Source organism: Homo sapiens, chromosome 11 (genome assembly GCF_000001405.40).
Source record: "Homo sapiens chromosome 11, GRCh38.p14 Primary Assembly".
Lineage (NCBI taxonomy): Eukaryota > Metazoa > Chordata > Mammalia > Primates > Hominidae > Homo > Homo sapiens.
Window position 1 is genome coordinate 27,445,128 of NC_000011.10, and position 18,826 is coordinate 27,463,953.

At 39.7% G+C, this 18,826-nt stretch overlaps 1 protein-coding gene across 2 annotated transcripts in view, besides 2 other annotated features; it reads right to left on the reverse strand.

Moving 5' to 3' along the window:
• LGR4 (leucine rich repeat containing G protein-coupled receptor 4) overlaps nucleotides 1–18,826 on the reverse strand; it is a 106,830-nt gene that overhangs the window by 79,167 nt on the left and 8,837 nt on the right. The window lies entirely within an intron of this gene.
• Nucleotides 2,215–2,509: an enhancer, noted in NCBI's record as "tiled region #4633; K562 Activating DNase matched - State 5:Enh". NCBI's record gives its function as "activates a minimal TATA promoter and a strong SV40 promoter by Sharpr-MPRA in K562 cells {active_cell/tissue: K562}" and the evidence as "EXISTENCE:reporter gene assay evidence [ECO:0000049][PMID:27701403]".
• Nucleotides 16,492–16,992: an enhancer, noted in NCBI's record as "H3K4me1 hESC enhancer chr11:27483166-27483666 (GRCh37/hg19 assembly coordinates)". NCBI's record gives its function as "activates a minimal SCP1, AML or CMV promoter by ChIP-STARR-seq in primed H9 embryonic stem cells {active_cell/tissue: H9 hESC(primed)}" and the evidence as "EXISTENCE:reporter gene assay evidence [ECO:0000049][PMID:30033119]".

Below are 18,826 nucleotides of genomic sequence, written 5' to 3' on the forward strand. Positions count from 1 at the left end.
AGAGTAAATTCCCCTCCTCTTTGCTCCCACAGCCCTTTGTTCATCCCTCCTTTAGGGTACTCTCATACTGTATTTGATTCGTGCATGTCTGTCTTTTCCACCAAACCCTATCACCTATGGACACGTGCGGGCCAGTGTGAGAGACTGGAGGGCACGAACTCTGGAGTCAGACTATGTGGGTTCAAATTCTGGTTACAGATTATAAATCATGACCCTGGATATATATTTTCAATATATTTGACTAACGCTTATTTAAACATTTTGTACTTCAGTTTTCTGAGCTTAAAATGGAGATAAAGAATACCTCTTATACAGCTGTTATGACGATCAAGTAAACTCACACATATAAAGCTCTTAGCATGATATCTGGTACACATGAAGGGCTTCATAAATGTTAAAACAGGAAGCACAGTTCATATTGTCCCTCCTCCCCCAACGAATACAGCAGCACACTTAGAAGTACAATAGAGGCTGGTTTCAGTGGCTCACACCTGTAATCCAAGCATTTTGGGAGGCCGAGTAGAAGGATGGTATAAGGTAAAGAGTTTGAGACCAGCTAGGCAAGACAGTAAGACCTCGTCTCCACAGAAAAATTTAAAAATTTTTCAAGCCTGGTGGTGCATGCCTGCAGTCCCAGCTACTCTGAAGGCAGAGGCCAGTAGATCACTTGAGCCCACAGGTGAAGGTTGCAGTGAGCTGAGATGGCGCCACTGTACTACAGGCTGGGCAACAGAGTGAGACCCTGTCTCAAAAAATAAAAAAAAAAAGTGCAGTAGCCACATATTTGATGTTCATGGTATAAACTTTGGCTAAGCAAGTTAATTAATAAAATGTCACCAGTAAAATATAATAGAATATCGAAAGACAATCTGTCTATGTCCTTCAAATTATTCAACATTTAAGAGTATGTTACATGCAAGGCACAAATATAACCAAGGGAAGAACTAAAAAGATGCTGAGTGAGAGTTGATTCCTGCCTATAGAGAGCTTAAAAATGGGGTTGTTTGATTTTTTCTTGTAAATTTGTTTAAGTTCTTTGCAGATTCTGGTTATTAGCCCTTTGTCAGATGGGTAGATTGTAAAAATTTTCTCCCATTCTGTAGGTTACCTGTTCACTCTGATGGTAGTTTCTTTTGCTGTGCAGAAGCTCTTTAGTTTAATTAGATCCCATTTGTCAACTTTGGCTTTTGCTGCCATTGCTTTTGGTGTTTTAGTCATGCAACAACCCCATCAAAAAGTGGGCGAAGGATATGAACAGACACTTCTCAAAAGAAGACATTTATGCAGCCAAAAGACACATGAAAAAATTCTCATCATCACTGGCCATCAGAGAAATGCAAATCAAAACCACAATGAGATACCATCTCACACCAGTTAGAATGGCGATCATTAAAAAGTCAGGAAACAACAGGTGCTGGAGAGGATGTGGAGAAATAGGAACACTTTTACACTGTTGGTGGGACTGTAAACTAGTTCAACCATTGTGGAGGACAATGTGGTGATTCCTCAAGGATCTAGAACTAGAAATACCATTTGACCCAGCCATCCCATTACTGGGTATATACCCAAAGGATTATAAATCATGTTGCTATAAAGACACATGCACACGTATGTTTATTGTGGCACTATTCACAATAGCAAAGACTTGGAACCAACCCAAATGTCCATCAATGATAGACTGGATTAAGAAAATGTGGCACATATACACCATGGAATACTATGCAGCCATAAAAAATGATGAGTTCATGTCCTTTGTAGGGACATGGATGAAGCTGGAAACCATCATTCTGAGCAAACTATCGCAAGGACAGAAAACCAAACACCGCATGTTCTCACTCATAGGTGGGAACTGAATAATGAGAACACTTGGACACAGGGTGGGGAACATCACACACCGGGGCCTGTCATGGGGTCAGGGGAGGGGGGAGGGATAGCATTAGGAGATATACCTAATGTAAACGACAAGTTAACGGGTGCAGCACACCAACATGGCACATGTATACATATGTAACAAACCTGCATGTTGTACACATGTACCCTAGAACTTAAAGTATAATAATAATAATAAAAAAAAGCGCTTACAAACGATTCTGAGCATGAAGCTGATAGGAGGTCAGCAGGAGTGGTTGCACAAGATACAGGTGGTAAAGACCACTCTGATAAAACAGGATGCAATAAAGAAGCTGGCCAAAACCTGCCAAAACCAAGGTGGTGTAAGCGTCCTCTGGACATCCTCACTGCTCATTATATGCTAATTATAATATATTAGCTTACTAAAGGAACCTCCCACCAGTGCCATGACAGTTTACAAATGTCATGGCGATGTCCAGAAGTTACCCTATATGGTCTGAAAGGGGGAAGAACCCTCAGTTCTGGGGAACTCCCTGCCCCTTTCCTGGAAAACGCATAAATAATCCACACTTTGTTTAGCATATGATAAAGAAATAACCATAAAAATAGCTAACCAGCAACCCTTGGGGTTGCTCTGCCAATTTATTCCTTTACATTCTTAATAAACTTGTTTTCACTTAACTTTGTCACTCTTATTGAATTCCTTCCTGTGCAAAGCCAAGAATTCCTGTGGTCTCCGAGGCTGAACCCCAATTTTGGGGTTCATCCTATGACAAAGCATCTAGAAATGTATGTCTATTGTATTCATGGCTGACACTATGCTTTCACAATATGTTTGACTAATGTGCATTTTGTCAACAGTGTGTTAAGTCTTTAAATTTTTAAAAATATATGTACAACCAAAGTATCGCATTTCACTAAAGGAATAGAAAGTAATAGGGTTTATGCATGTTATATTTAATATACTTCAATGAACCTTATAATTCTCACTAATGCTCCATGTTAACATAGCACCATGTATGCATTCCAGGTCTATATCCTGTGGTTCTATGATTACAGTTATTGCTCTCTGTAGCACTGTAAGAGTCAAAACTACTTATGTATGAAATTAAAGAATTTGGATCATGAACAAATGTGTGGTAAAATCATTTTGTTTCCATAATGCTCTTTTCAAAGACCTTACCATTAAATACAGGATCACTGGCTTAAATGTGGCAATCTAGTAAGACCTAGTTTAATAAAATCATCAGTAAGTTAGAATCATGTTTAAATTAGAATAAATCATCCAGAGTTTCAGTTGTTCTTTTTTTTCTTTTCTTTTTTTTTTTTTGAGACAGAGTTTTTGCTCTTGTTGCCCAGGCTGGAGTGCAATGGTGTGATCTCAGCTCACCACAAGCTCCGCCTCCTGGCTTCAGGCAATTCTCCTGCCTCAGCCTCCTGAGTAGCTGGGATTACAGGCATGTGCTTCCATGCCTGGCTAATTTTGTATTTTTAGTAGACATGGGGTTTCTCCATGTTGGTCAGGCTGGTCTCGAACTCCCGACCTCAGGTGATCCGCTCGCCTCAGCCTCCCAAAGTGCTAGGATTACAGGCGTGAGCCACCGCGCCCTGCCTCAGTTGTTCTTTAGCTGAAAAGAATGTATGGAAACAAAATGATTTTGCTGTACATTTGTTCACAATCCAAATTATTTTGTCATGAAACACTAATTTCATGAGTCTGAATAAAACATTAAAGCTACAGATATGTATTTGCATTTGAAAATATCAGGTAGGTTTACTGTATTCCATTTTTCTAGAAGAGAGTAATGAGACTAACAAAAATGAGCTCCTTAAATCAACCATTGGAGCAAGCCCCCTGAGGACAGAAGTATTGCCTTTCACTTCTACTCTCACTAGATTAAGACTACCAACAAATGCCTTTCTCATTCACTCACTGATACTTAATAAAAACTAAATAAAACATAATAAACACATACTATAATAAATTTTTACATCTTTTCTGATTTTTCTATGGAAGTATGCAAATGGGAGGTAAAACTCACCTAGTTGACAATATCTAACTATCATAAGTTAGCTAACTTATAATAATAAAACTATCAGAAGTCAAGACTATTATTTGCATTATCTTCATCCAAGAGAACATGCTGCCCATCATCAACACTGTCCAGTATTTATCAGCTGCTGTAAAATAATAAATACCTACTTAAGTATAATGAGTGAATCCTCAAGACATGCCTAAGAGTTTATTTTTTAATATTGAATGTATAGTATCATAATAATTAAAGTTTAACAAAAATCTATTCAATCATTTTGTCAAATGTCAGCCAGGCGAGATGGCTCATGCCTGTAATCCCAGCACTTCAGGAGGCCGAGGTAAGATGATCATTTGAGCTCCGGAGTTCAAGACCAGCCTGGGCAACACAGCGAGACACTGTCTCTACAAAAAATAAAAAATTAGCCAGGTATGGTGGCCTGTGCCTGTGGTCCTAGCTACTCAAAAGGCTGAGGCAGGAGGGTGACTTGAGCCTAAGAGCTTGAGCCTGCAGTGACCCATGATCACGCCATTGCACACCAGCCTGGGCGACAAAGTGAGATGCTGTCTCTTAAAAAAATCAAAAACTTGCTTGGTTATTTACTATTATTAAAAAAAGAAAAAAAAAAGAAGAAGACCAATAAATAAAAAGTAAATAAAATAAAAATAAAGTTTAAAATGTTGACAATTATATCATTTCTGAGAAAAATTCTGTAGGAGATACCACTTCCAGAATTCAAAGGACGTATGTCTATAATTAGCTGAATATTCTAAACTCTTTAAAAACACTCCAGAAAATATAACAGGATGACCTTCAATTGTTTCTGCTATGCTTCCTGATCAATATTTTAACAATTAGAATTGCTTTATTAACAATATCTCTTCAGTGAGTGTTCCTTTGACTTATTTCTAGGTTAGCTAAAAGTTGGTTCCCCTAGAAGCTGATGATTTGAGGCAAAAATGCCTTGTTCAACATGGAAACTGAAAGGCAGAACTTGGCTACATCTCCCTGAAAAACGCTTTCGTTAAGTCTGATGAATGTGATATTCTGCTTTCCAAAAGACTGGCATACTAGTATTTTTATTGTATAATATCCAATTCCCTATATGCTATTGTTATTCTAGATCCTCTGAGCAAAATGAAGCTGTTAATATTAAGGACAACGGAAGGGACAGAATTTTGAAGATGGGCAATAGGGCCTTAAGACTAAAGCTTAAAACTATGCTACCAAAAAAATTTAAAAAGCAACATTCAACAAGCCTTATAAATTGTCAGTAGAGACATGGGTATATTCCTCTACTTGAAACATGGTACAATTAATACTTTTCAACTCCTCCTGGCAGAATACTTTCCTTCCGGCAGAATATCTTCAATTTCTCCTGGTAGAAAATAGACACTTTCAATTCCACAAACTTCCACTTGGAAATGAAACGGAACTTCCCATAATGTTGTTGCTGTATAATAAAAAATACTCAACACAGAAAATTGTGCTCTCAGGCCAGGCACGGTGGCTCACGTCTGTAATCCCAGTACTTTGAGAAGCCGAGGTGGGTGGATCACCTGAGGTCGGGAGTTTGAGACCAGCCTGACCAACATGGAGAAACCTCATCTCTAATAAAAATACAAAATTAGCTGGGGGTGGTGGCACACACCTGTAATCCCACCTACTCGGGAGGCTGAGGCAGGAGAATCCCTTGAACCCGGGAGGCAGAGGTTACGGTGAGCTGAGATCGCGCCATTGCACTCCAGCCTGGGCAACAAGAGCAAAACTGCGTCTCAAGAAAAAAAGAAAGAAAATTGTGCTCTCACATCCATTCCTTGCTTTGGGATGCTAGATGCAATGCACCTATATTTAGAAACAAAACAACCATTTCTTTGCCAACTCTTCATAAACCTTTCAATTTCTCCAACAAGTCTGATACCCTGGGACAAAATAATGTCCAGTGGCAGGTTATGTAATGATCTATATACTACTTCCAGGATTACTATTTCTAGGTTATGTAAGGATCTATACTATTTCTAGGACTCCTTACAAAAACACTTCTTAAAAACACTACAGTTTTTAGTATTCACAACTAAATGAACGGTACTTTTCAATACTTAAAACTAAAGTTTAAAGAGTCAACTTTTATTTCCAAAGTTAGCACAATTTTTCACTTAAAATAAGGAAATGTTAAATTTAAAGAGACCACCAGAGAACTGTTTAGAACCATTTAGTTTGGAACCATAACTTCAGACAAATGCTTCACACCACTATTTTAATGAAGAGTACCCACCAGACATCACTTAAGAACTGAGGCCTAAGTCACTATATCAAAGGTATAAATTATGGTCCAAAGACAGCGCCAGGCACTGCTGAGCTTGGAATTGCTTACTGAGCAACCAAGTTGTTTCAAACAAACTAAATGTTTTAAGGAGGCTAAAGGGCAGTGGAGGCAATTATTGGAAGGAAATTTCTCACTAGGCCAGAAAGGAATAATTAAGTCTTTGCATGCTAAATCACATCACTGGGGTTAACAATGAAGTAATCAAGTGTAAATGGTGACAAAGCCCATCTACAAGACTCATGAAAGGAAATTAAGGTTGTGGGTAATCTAGACTATTGTTGCTTAAATACCACAAAAATTAGTCCCTAAAACTTCATTCATTCATCCCCTGTTTAGATAAATGTGTGTGCTTTTAGTGGGAGGCAAGAAATTGGTTAATCCAGTAATTAAGGCAAATATACTGAATCATCAGAAGTAAAACACCATTCAGCTACTAATTCACAGGCAGAGATCCAAGGTCATTCCTCATACTAAGACTGTACCAAGCACTCAGTAATAAAATACTTTCATAATAGGAGAGCCATGTCCATTCCATTCAAAAATATGATTCAAACCATTTAAATTATAAACCTAATGCATAATTTGCATATTGTACTTTCTCTGCTTTAGAACATAAAAGAGAATTCACATACACACATACATAGCTGGGGGGAATGTGGGCATGAAGCTGGGGGAAAAAATGGACACCCACGTAATCTTCCAACAATTGCTCAATAGCAAATTAAAACTGGTTATGCTCTCAGGGAGCAAAATAATGTTGATGTGAAAGTTAAAAGATCTAGATTGAGACTCTGGCTCTGCAACCTCAGGCTGTCATCTTACCTCAGAGACTCAGTTTCCTCATCTTCTTTAAGGGGTAAGGCCATGGCTAAGACTTCTCAGGACTCTCAACAGATCTGGTATGTTTGTTGTTGTTATTTTAAAAAATGGTTTAAGACTCACTAGAAGTTGCAAAACTAGTGCAGACAGTTCCTGCATACCCTTCACCCAGCTTTTCCCAATGGCAACATCTTACATAACCATAATATATCAGCTAAACCGGGAAATTTACTTTGATGCAACACTATTTACTAAAGCTACAGACCCTACTCAGATGGATTCATGTAACTACCACTACAATCATGGTAAGGAACTGCTCCACCACTGCAAAGAAATGCCCTCCTGCGACACTTTTCTGTCGCATCATTTTCCTATCTCCAACCCTAGCAACCACTGGTCTGTTCGCCAACACTATAATTTTGTCATTTATAGTAAACCTGGAATCATACAGTATACAACTTTTTGAGTTTTTTTTTTTTTTTTTTTTTTGAGACAGAGTCTCTGTCGCCCCGGCTGGAGTGCAGTGGCGCGATCTCGGCTCACTGCAAGCTCCGCCTCCCGGGTTCACACCATTCTCCTGCCTCAGCCTCCCGAGTAGCTGGGACTACAGGTGCCCGCCACCACGTCCGGCTAATTTTTTTTTTTTTTTTGTATTTTTAGTAGAGACGGTGTTTCACTGTTGAACTTGGTTTTAATCACTCAGCCTTAATACCGTTGAAAACTATCCATAGTCATGTGTATCAATAGTTTGTATACTTCTGTGTAATAGCCTGTTGTATTGACATACCAATTTATTCTGCCACATTGACTTCAAACCTTTTTATGTTTTTTCTTTTATCTTTTATTTTCTTTTTTAATGTTCCTACATGCACAGTGACTTTTATGTTTAATTAAGTTGTCACTATGGGGTAGGGAGAAACCTTTTTTTTTGAGACAGGGTCTAGCTCTGTCGCCCAGGCTGGAGTGCAGTGGTGCGATCTCAGCTCACCACAACCTCCACCTCCCAGGTTCAAGCAAATCTCCTGCCTCAGCCTCCCGAGTAGCTGGGATTACAGGCGCCTGCCACCATGCCCAGCTAATTTTTGTACTTTTAGTAAAGACAGGGTTTCACTGTGTTGGCCAGGCTGGTCTCGAACTCCCAACCTCATGATGTGCCCACCTCGGCCTCCCAAAGTGCTGGGATTACAGGCGTGAGCCACCACGCCCGGCCAAGAGGAACTTTTTAAATTTTGTTTTGCCATTGCTTAAGATGGATTCATATTCCTATAGATATTGACTAATTATCTTAATATCTAAATTTCATTCCAGCCTTCCCTGGCTACCCTACTTTAACAGCAAACCACCTTCATCTTGCTTTATTTTCCTTGATGGTATGTAACATTACCTGACCTTTTATATTCATTGTGCTTATTTACTGTCTACCACTAATCCCCCACCCCCCTGCCAGGTAAGTTATAGGAATGCAAGGATGGCATCAGATACTGTTCAATTCTGTGTCCCCAGCACCAAAAACAGTCCCTAACACATCAGACACTTAATAAACAAATGTTGAACAAATTAATTTTTAAAGTTCTGACTTATTATCTCAGTAAGTAATTATTATTTTAAAGTTGAAAGAGTACTGATTCTGTAAACCAAAAATAAAATTCTAAGGGCCCCAGCCTTCTGAATGGAACCCTCCTCTTGGCCAAAGGCATTCCAAAGTTAACCTGAAAAACTAGTTCAGACCATGATGGGAAGGGGAAGTTGGACATGCCTCATTATATCCTACACCCTTTTGGAATTTAGTAAGAGCCAACCAGCATTAGCATCAACACAGACCTGAAGACTTATAAGAAACATTTATAATACAATCTATTCTCTTTGAAGCCTGCTACCTGGAGGCTTCATCTGCATGATAAAACTTTGGTCTCCACAATCCCTTATCATTGGAACTCGGACATTCCTTTCTATTTATTCCAGGCTTTTAGATAAAAACTAAACTCTTTCAGCCAATTGCCAATCCGAAAATTTTTAAATCTACCTATAACCTGGAAGCTCCCTGGCTTCAACTTGTCCCTCCTTTCCAGATCAAACCCATGTCATCTCACAGGTATTGATTGATATATTATGTCTCCCTAAAAAGTATAAAAGTAAGCTGTACTCCAACCACGTCTTCAAGACTGTCTGTGGCTGTGTCACAGGCAAGTCCTTAGCCTTGGCAAAATAAACTTTCTAAATTGATTGAGATCTGTCACAGATACTTTTGGGTTGACAATTCCATGAACCATTATACAAATATTTGTAGCTCTCAAAGAATAGTTTGAATAAATAAAATTATTGGCCGGGCACAGTGGCTCATGCCTGTAATCCCAGCACTTTGGGAGGCCAAGGCAGATAGATTGCCTGAGGTCAGGAGTTCGAGACCAGTCTGGCCAAGATGGTGAAACCCTGTCTCTACTAAAAATACTAAAACTTAGCCAGATGTGGTGGCATGCACCTGTAATCCCAGCTACATCAGGGGCTGAGGCAGGGGAATTGCTTGAACCAGGGCGGTGGTGGTTGCAGTGAGCCGAGATCATGCCACCTGCTCTCTAGCCTGGAAGACAGAGCAAGACTCTGTCTCAAAAAAAAAAAAAAAAGCAAAATTATTTGCATTAAACATTTTTATTCACCTCCACAAATTATCTCCTACAATTTCAACAAAGTACTGAGCCCATGGAAAACTGGGAAGACAAGGAAGAAGCACAGGAAATTTTATCTTGTCATCCAACAGACACAAGCCACAGCAACACAAGTCAAAAGTCTTACTAAATGTTAATATTAAATTAAATGTTAAAGATTAACACAGTCAAAGAAAGGACCATCTCTTCTGATAATGCTCTTCCACTTGCCTTCTCTGTCTGTCTTTCTTTCTTTTTTCCAGGTCTCACTTTGTCACCCATGCTGGAGTGCAGTGGCACCATCATAGTTCCCTGCAGCCTCAAATTCCTGGTCTCTAAGTGATCCTCCTGTCTCAGCCTTCTGAGTAGCTGAGACTACAAGTGTGTGCCACCACGCCAGGCTAATTTATTTTTTGTACAGATGGGGTGTTTCATTTTTAACATACCCTGGAGCACTATAAATGATTCTGGTCAAGTCATACAACTAAATGTAACTGGATTTCTCCCCCATTAAATGGGGAATTTGAGCCAGATCAACTGCCAGCTCTTAATAGAGAAGTACACAAAGAAGGGAGGAAAAGTCTAAAAAAAAACAACAACAAGAATTTGGTGTTATGATTTATGTGACTGAAAAGTTTAACAAATAATAACTACCATGTCTATAAACAGGTTAATATAATATACACCATTGGGAGAAACTGACTTTTTGCTTTCCCCATGGAACGACATAGCCTTTTTGATGGGTGGGCCATAATAAACAAGAGTTTTAGATCCACTGCATTAGATGACCTTTAAGATCCTTTCCAAATCTACATTCTAAGGAGCTGAGAACACTTCAAGCACAGAACAAAACAAAACCTCTCCAGAATTAATTCCCCATCTACATAATGAGAAGTTTCCGATACCTAAGACATGTACAATGGATGAACGCCTACATTTAGGAAGAGCACTGAAAGATACTGTTATACAGCCCACTCAACCAAATAACCCTAGTCTATAAAAGCAAGATCCAACACCCTACCTGCAAAACCTCTCATTACTAGTGGTAATAAGTCCTCACTTGCCATGGTTTCTCCATCTCTAAAATGGGGAGAATAATAGCATTGCTTTGGAGGCCTATTGGGAGGATTAAATAGATAACACGTGTTACGCACTTCATTTAGTGCCTGGCATTCAATAACATTATTATGAGCATCTAAGTTAATAACAAGAGGATGGTGATGATATTATCTGAATGGCAGGACAGACCAGAGAGCTCTTCATGACTAAGAATGCAACATAAGTGAAATGAGAAAGCAAAATGCTTCCAGGGGAAGAAGACAACCTTTAGAATCACCAAGCAAATGACTGTTTAGCATGAGGCTGGCTATCACCAGTACATTCAAAATTAAAACTGTGGCCACAGATTCAATCATGAATAATAGCCCTGCTGCTAAAGGAAAGAGCACACAGATCCAAATGGGAACCCATCAAGTCTGTAAAACATTAACAGCTTAATAAACATCAGCTCACACCATCAACACACAGTGTTCGAGTCAACTAAAGAGTACCAACTAAATTAATACCAAGTTGACTAAATGAAATGCCTTGGGGGAGAAAAAGGCTCATGGGTGATTCACTTTTATGCTGACTTCCCTATAAAAACATCTTCAACAGGAGAGGCAGGAAATTCCAGTGAGTGAAAGGGGGCAGCTATATGGAAACCATCATACTGCACATTTTGCTTTTTAATCTACTGCAAAGTTTTGGTTTAAAGGAGCACATTCAGAAATTTGCTCCTTTAGAAACAGAAAAGTGAGTCTGCTAACAGATCTGATCCTCATATACCATGTAAGTGAAGTCCACGGAAGAAAGAAAAAGCCAGTCAAAAAGCATATGACTGATACTTTCCAGACACACACAAAAAAACACTATTAACATGGGAAATGATGTGAAAGCTTTTAAACAAGTATGTATAAAAAGCAAAAAGACCAAGTTAGAGATACTTTTTAAAAGTTCTGCTATGAATAACAGACAACTTCATTTTACACAACAGATTTTGAATCTATTGTGTAGATTTTTGACTCTAAATCAAGTCATAGTCTCCCAGTGTATGCAGACATATAGATGTATGTGTGCTTTTTGGGTACACATTTTTTTCTGTTCTGATTTTTTTTTCCTGTAATAACCTGTAGCTTCTCACCATTTTGTTTCTCATTTCACCTGTTCCTCTTCTGATAAATTGTCAAATATCTAAGCAAACTACAGGGATGAGCAAACTTAAATATGGAACACCTGAGCTTCACAAACTACCACCCACTAACTGTGGGATATTTGAACAAGTTACCTAATCCTTTTAAATCCCAGTTTGCTCAGTGATAAAATGGGAATCCTGCCATGGACCAAGATGGTTACTGTGGAAATTCTAGTTAGCACATGTAAAATGCATAATGTATAGGTAGGCCCAGCAATTCTTCACTAAATATCCATTTTTTAAAAAAATCAGACATTCCAAATATGAATACATTAATAATTCAAACTTTTTTCACTGTAAGCAAAATGCTTCACATTAGGGTAATTTCTACAGGAGTCTCTGGCGGGGATTACAGCAACTGCTAGGTATCATAAAGGGAGCTAAGAATTCTTCTCTTTTAAAAGCAGACATTCTCAGCATAGAGGAGTTTAAAGAACTTAAAGAAAGCAGACATTTAAACAAAATCAGTTTTTAACAGCTTTTGCTAATACTACATACCATGCTAACAATATATTGTGACTATAAGTAATTGGTGATAACAAACCTCACCACAGTCTAAGACATTAAAATTGAGACCAACATTTTCTTATAAACATACATTTACCATATGACCCAGGATCTCACTCTAGGTATTTATGCAAGTGAAATAAATACCTATGTTCATACAAAAACTCTGTGTGAATATTTATGGTGGCTTTATTTATAATAGCCAAAAAGCTAGAAATAGGGCAAATGTCCCTTGACTGGTGAATGGAGAAACAAATTATAGTATACGTACACAATGGAACACTCCTTAGCAATGAAAATGAGTACTGGCCAGGCACAGTGGCTCACACCTGTAACCCCAGCACTTTGGGAGCCAGGGCAGGAGGATCATTTGAGGCCAGAAGTTCAAGACTAGCCTGGGAAACACAGCAAGACCCCATCTCTGCAAAAATTAAAAAAAAAATTAGCCAGGCATGGTGGCACATGCCTGTAGTCCCATCTATTTGGAGGGCTAAGGTAGGAGGACTGCTTGAGCCCAGGAGTTAGAGGCTGCAGTGAACTGTGATCATGCCACTGTGGTCCGGCTTGGGCAACAAAGCAAGTCCCCATCTCAAAAAGAAAAAGAAAAGAAAGTGAGTATTACATATTAATATACGCAACATGTTAGAATCTCAAATGCAGTATGGTGAGAAAAATAGGCCAGACGCAAAAGGTTACATTGTTTTATTACATTTATATGGCATCCTAATAAAGGCAAAACTACATAAAGTGAGGAAACCAAGGTAGAAAATAGTTCAGCAGTTGTCAGAGGTTGGAGGTGAAGAGAGGAGATAACTACAGAGAGGCATGGAAATTCATCAAGTGAAGAAATGCTCTATATCTTCACAGTGATGGTGGTCACATGACTGTATACATTGTGAAACTCATAGAACTGAACATTAAAAAGGATGACTTTTAAAATTGAGGAGCTTGGGGGAGTTTTCTCTATAAATTCATAGTTTTTTTGTTTTCTTAATTTTTTTAAGTATTTTTTTTTTTGAGATGGAATTTCGCTCTTTTCACCCAGGCTGGAATGCAATGGCACGATCTCAGCTTACTACAACCTTTGCCTCCCGGGTTCAAGCAATTCTACTCTCTCAGCCTCCCGAGTAGCTAGGATTACAGCCACCCACCACCATGCCCAGCTAATTTTTGTATTTTTAGTAGAGACGGGGTTTCACCATGTTGGCCAGGCTGGTCTCGAACTCCTGACCTCAGGTGATCCGCCCACCTTGGCCTCCCAAAGTGCTGGGACTACAGGCATGAGTTACCATGCCGGGCCTTGAATTCACAGTTTTGAAAGTCAGGGAAGCAGTCAAAGTAAGGAAGATGGAACATCTAAGATTAAACCATTTATTTTAGGATAAAAATATGGAGGCAATAAATAAAAAGGGAACCACAAATAGATTCATTTATGAAGAACCATAAAACAGAAACTTTTAAAAATTTAACCTTAAATGAGCCAATAAATTTAAAGGAAATCTATTATAATCAAGAACTACAAAAGGAATCAGTTTTATGAGAAAATGTGAAAGGCAATAATTTCTTTTAGCATGTTGTTATTCAGCTTATGTTCAGTAATGATACCAAGAACCATCAGAAATAACTTCTAGAAGAGATGTCTATATAAATTTAAATATGTGGCTATATCTGAGATAAAATAATCAACAGGAGCTTGCTTCCTTTTAGATAAATCATCAACTTCTGTCTGTCAAAACCAGTCTACATGTCTGAAAAACAATGAAACTAGAAACTCAGGCTCGAGTAACTTGAGGGTTGGGAAGGACCCTGATGAAATGGATGTCATTACTTCCTCTGCCAACGTCATAAATCTTCTTATCCTTGGATGTCACAGCGGGGGGTTTTTCCTCCTTCTGGAATTCTGGAATGCCACCTCAGCCAGGATGGTGTGAAGGGCAAATTCTTTTTTTTTTTTTTGAGACAGAGTCTTGCTCCGTCACCCAGGCTAGAGTGCAGTGGTGCGATCTCGGTTCACTGCAACCTCCACCTCCTGGGTTCAAGTGATTCTCCTGCCTCATCCTCCCAAATAGCTGGGATTACAGGTGCCCACCACTGCACCTGCCTAATTTTTGTATTTTCAGTAGAGACGGGGTTTCACCATCTTGGCCAGGCTGGTCTCGAACTCCTGACCTCATGATCCACCCACCTCGGCCTCCCAAAGTGCTGCAATTACAGGCATGAGCCACAGCACCTGGCTAGCAAATTCTTTTAACACAGAATAAGCACTGAGAGTCTGGGTGCAATGGCTCATTCCTGTAATCCCAGTACTTTGAGAGGCCAAGGCAGGTGGATCACCTGAGGTCAGGAGTTCGAGACCAGCGGGGCCAACATAGTGAAACCCCATCTCTACTAAAAATACAAAAATCAGCCAAGTGTGATGACATGTGCCTGTGGTCCCAGCTACTCGGGAGGCTGAAGCATGAGAATCACTTGAACCGGGAAGCGGAGGCTACAGTGAGCCGAGATGGCACCACTATGCTTAAGCCTGGGCAACTGAACAAGACTCCGTCTCAAAAAAAAGAATAAGAGCTGAGAAAGGAATTAACTTACCCTTCTATTTCATGTTCTTGACCATCTCCTGTCACACCTGCTGATGAGCCTCAATACTATAGCTTCAGATGCCACAGACCAAAGCCCTCAATGCTAGCTGACCTGAAACCGAGCTCCCAAGAAGAAGGCTAATACTATATGCAACGGAAACCTTTAAAGGTCATTGCAGCAGTGTTTGGCTAGCAGGACAATGATCAATTGATCTCTTTCTGTGGGCTGACAAGAAGATAAACATAAAGGCAGGCAGTTTTCAAGGCCTATCCTACTGGGAATTCAAGCATCTGTGATCCCAACACACACCACATATCAAATCTGGCAGAGCAATACCCAAATCCCCTGTGCTCACGCATACACAAATGTCCTTTGGTGAAATACATGATTAGGTGGAAAACCCATCATGGAAGCCAGCCATCCTAAGTTAATTCAAACTGATATTAGAAATTGATTTATCCAAAACAAGGGATTTTCTTTCTACAGAATGTAATGAGGCTCTGGAAAACACAGTTTGATTACTAACAGCAGAGCCTGTGGTTTGTGCACAGATTTGCCAACCTACCATGAAGAATGAAGCGTTCTGCTGCATGCCCTCACAGCCCCAGACTCTGTGTGTGAAGGGTAGGAATGAAATATTCCATATGTTTTCTTTGTCAGTGACATGGCTATTGAAAGCAAGGCCATGGTAGTCTCCCTGCTGAGGGACTGGGTCAAGCTATTCATGTGTAACCAGGCAGATGTCAAGATGGTAATGGGAAAAACATCTCAAACTTTTTTTTTTTTTTAAAGAAGGAGACCCAGGGTAGAAAACGCACAACTGTATTTGAAACACTCAGCCAATCTAAATAGGTTGTGAGGGCTACTGCATACGTTAGCTACTATTCTGTCTTTGTAATTCATGTTTAAATCAGGTCTGAATCAAAACTCAGAGAAGTTTTTAGTTTCTGAGAAAGATTTAACCGTGCTTAAGAATGTCATATAAACTTTTTAAAATATGTAATACTTTAAAGAAAGGATTTTAGTTCTAAATTTACTTTTAAGATAATAAGCTTTTCTTTAGCTACAAAACCAAGCATTAATCTCAAATGTAAAAAAAAACATAGGAGCACCGTGGCTCACACCTGTAATCCCAGCACTTTCAGAGGCTGAGGCAGGAGGATTGCTTGAGGCCAGGAGTTCGAGACCAGCCTGGACAACAAAATGAGATCCTATCTCCATAAATTAAAAAAAAAAAAATAACACATAGGTACCCCATAACCAGTAAAATCATAAAATAAATACTTTCAAAATACTTAAAAAGTTCATGTGTAATCTGCATATTTCTAGAACCAAAGTGATGTGAAAAATAAGAATGCAGCCAAATTGTCCATGATAAGTAAATCTTACCCATCTTCTACATCAAGCTTGTCCAACCCACAGCCCACAGGCCCCATGCAGCCTAGGATGGCTTTGAATGCAGCCCAACACAAATTCATAAACTTTCTAAAAACATTATGGGATTTTTCTGCACATTTTTTTTTTTTTAGCTCATCAACTATTGTTACCGTTAGTATATTTTATGTGTGGCCAAAGACAATTCTTCTTCCAGTGTGGTCCAGGGAAGCCAAAAGATTGGACACCCCTGCTCCTTATGTCCACATGGAAAGAAAGAAAGTGATCCAAGAAACTACAGTGGGCTCTCATTGGCATGAAGGTTCCCAAAGATTGAGTTAGGATTTTTTTTTTTTTTTTTTTTTTTTTGAGGTGGAGTCTCACTCTGTCGTCCAGGCTGGATCTTGGCTCACTGCAACCTCCCCCTCCCGGATTCAGGCAATTCTCCTGCCTCAGTCTCCCAAGTAGCTGGATTACAGGTGCCCGTCGCCATGCCAGCCTAATTTCTTTTTTGTATTTTTAGTAGAGAAGGGTTTCACCACATTGGCCTGGCTGGTCTCGAACTCCTGATCTCAGGTAATCTACCCGCCTCGGCCTCCCAAAGTGCTGGGATTACAAGCGTGAGCCACAGCCCCCAGCCACTGAGTTAGGACTTTTAATGAAAGTCCTCAGTGTCACAAAGTCTGGAAGTAGAAAGTCAGTATCTACAGATCACATTGACACTGTCTTTAAAGGATGGGCTATCACACGCCCATTTGCTCTGAAGAGAAACCCTGCGTTCCCATGTTAGGACAGCACCTTTCTACTTGACCAGCCATCTCAGGAAGGCAGCAACAAGTCACAGAGACCCAGGCAAAAATGTAAGATTTCCCTTGAGCTCCCTCCTCCAGATAAACTGTACCTCTCCTCCATAAGGCTTTCTTGTTAGAGGGAAGTAGCACCATCTACAAGAAGGTATCTTTATAAAATCAGATGTACTACTGTTTCTCTACCAGGGTCTTCATGGATTTTTATATGAAGAATCTACCAGATGAGTAGCCTTTTTCCATTAGCACAGTGGCTCACCTGTGAAGTCTATGGGCTTTGAACCTGATATACATTCAAAGAACCAAAGAAACAGGGTTAGAATTTTAATTCACTGTTATAACACACAGACAACGGCTTAGTCACTCCCACAAGAAATGACAAATTGCATTCTCACTCGGCGTCACTCAAAAAAGTCATGCTGAAGCGTTTCCTTGGTGCAACCCTGAAGATAATGCAAGCTGCCTCTTCTTGCACATGGGAAATGCTAAGTCCAAAGTGGTTAAGTGACCTGCCCAAGCTCTACAATGCCCTCCTGAACTCGGATGTCTTCATTTCCTGTGCCAGACTCTTAAAAAAAAGAAAAAGAAAGGAAAAAAACAAACCATTTTTGAAAATCTATTCATAAAAATATGCCTACAAAAGAAGTCTGAGGGCCTGGCGCAGTGGCTCATACCTGTAATCCCAGCATTTTGGGAGGCCAAGGCAGTCAGATCACTTGAGCCCAGGAGTTCAAGACCAACCTGGGCAACATGGTGAGACCCTGTCTCCAAAAAAAAAAAAAAAAAAAAAAAAAAATACAAAAATTAGCCAGGCATGGTGGCACTCACCTGTAGTCCTAGCTACTTCGGAGACTGAGGTACGAGGATGCCCTTAGCCTGGGAGGTTGAGGCTGCAGTGAGCCATGATTGTGCCACTGCACTTCAGCCTGGGTGACACAGTGAGATCCTGTCTCAAAAATAAAAAGACTGGGGAGTTGATAGTAACATAAAAAGCTAGATGACATGACCATGGACTCAAAATGAACTTGGAGAACGGAAGGCCAACAAGAAAATTTTTCCTTGTAGAAAAAATTAAGATGTTTAAAAACTAATCAAATGAGATAAATAGCAGAAATAGCAGAGAAGGGATGAAAACTGAGATTATGATAAACTGCTAAATATCAGTTAATAAACCCATAATGTGTAATATTTAAAACATGACACTTGGCTGGGCGTGGTGGCTCACACCTGTAATCCCAGCACTTTGGGAGGCTGAGGCGGGCGGATCACCTGAGCTCAGGAGTTCGAGAGCAGCCTGGCCAACATGGTGAAACCCCGTCTCTACTAAAAATACAAAAATCAGCCGGGTGCGGTAGCAGGTGCCTGTAATCCCAGCTACTCGGGAGGCTGAGGCTGAAGAATCACTTGAACCCAGGAGGCGGAGGTTGCAGTGAACCGAGATCGTGCCACTGCACTCTAGCCTGGGCAACAAGAGTGAAACTCCATCTCAAAAAAACAAAACAAAACAAAAAAAATGACAGAAACATATTTGAAATGTATTAAATTCATTTAATGTTCCCTTCTTATGAACTCTGATTAAATTAAGTAAGAATTCCGCGTACACTTCAACTTGTGTGAGAGAAGGAGATCCTGAAGGGCAACTGAAGAGCAATTAT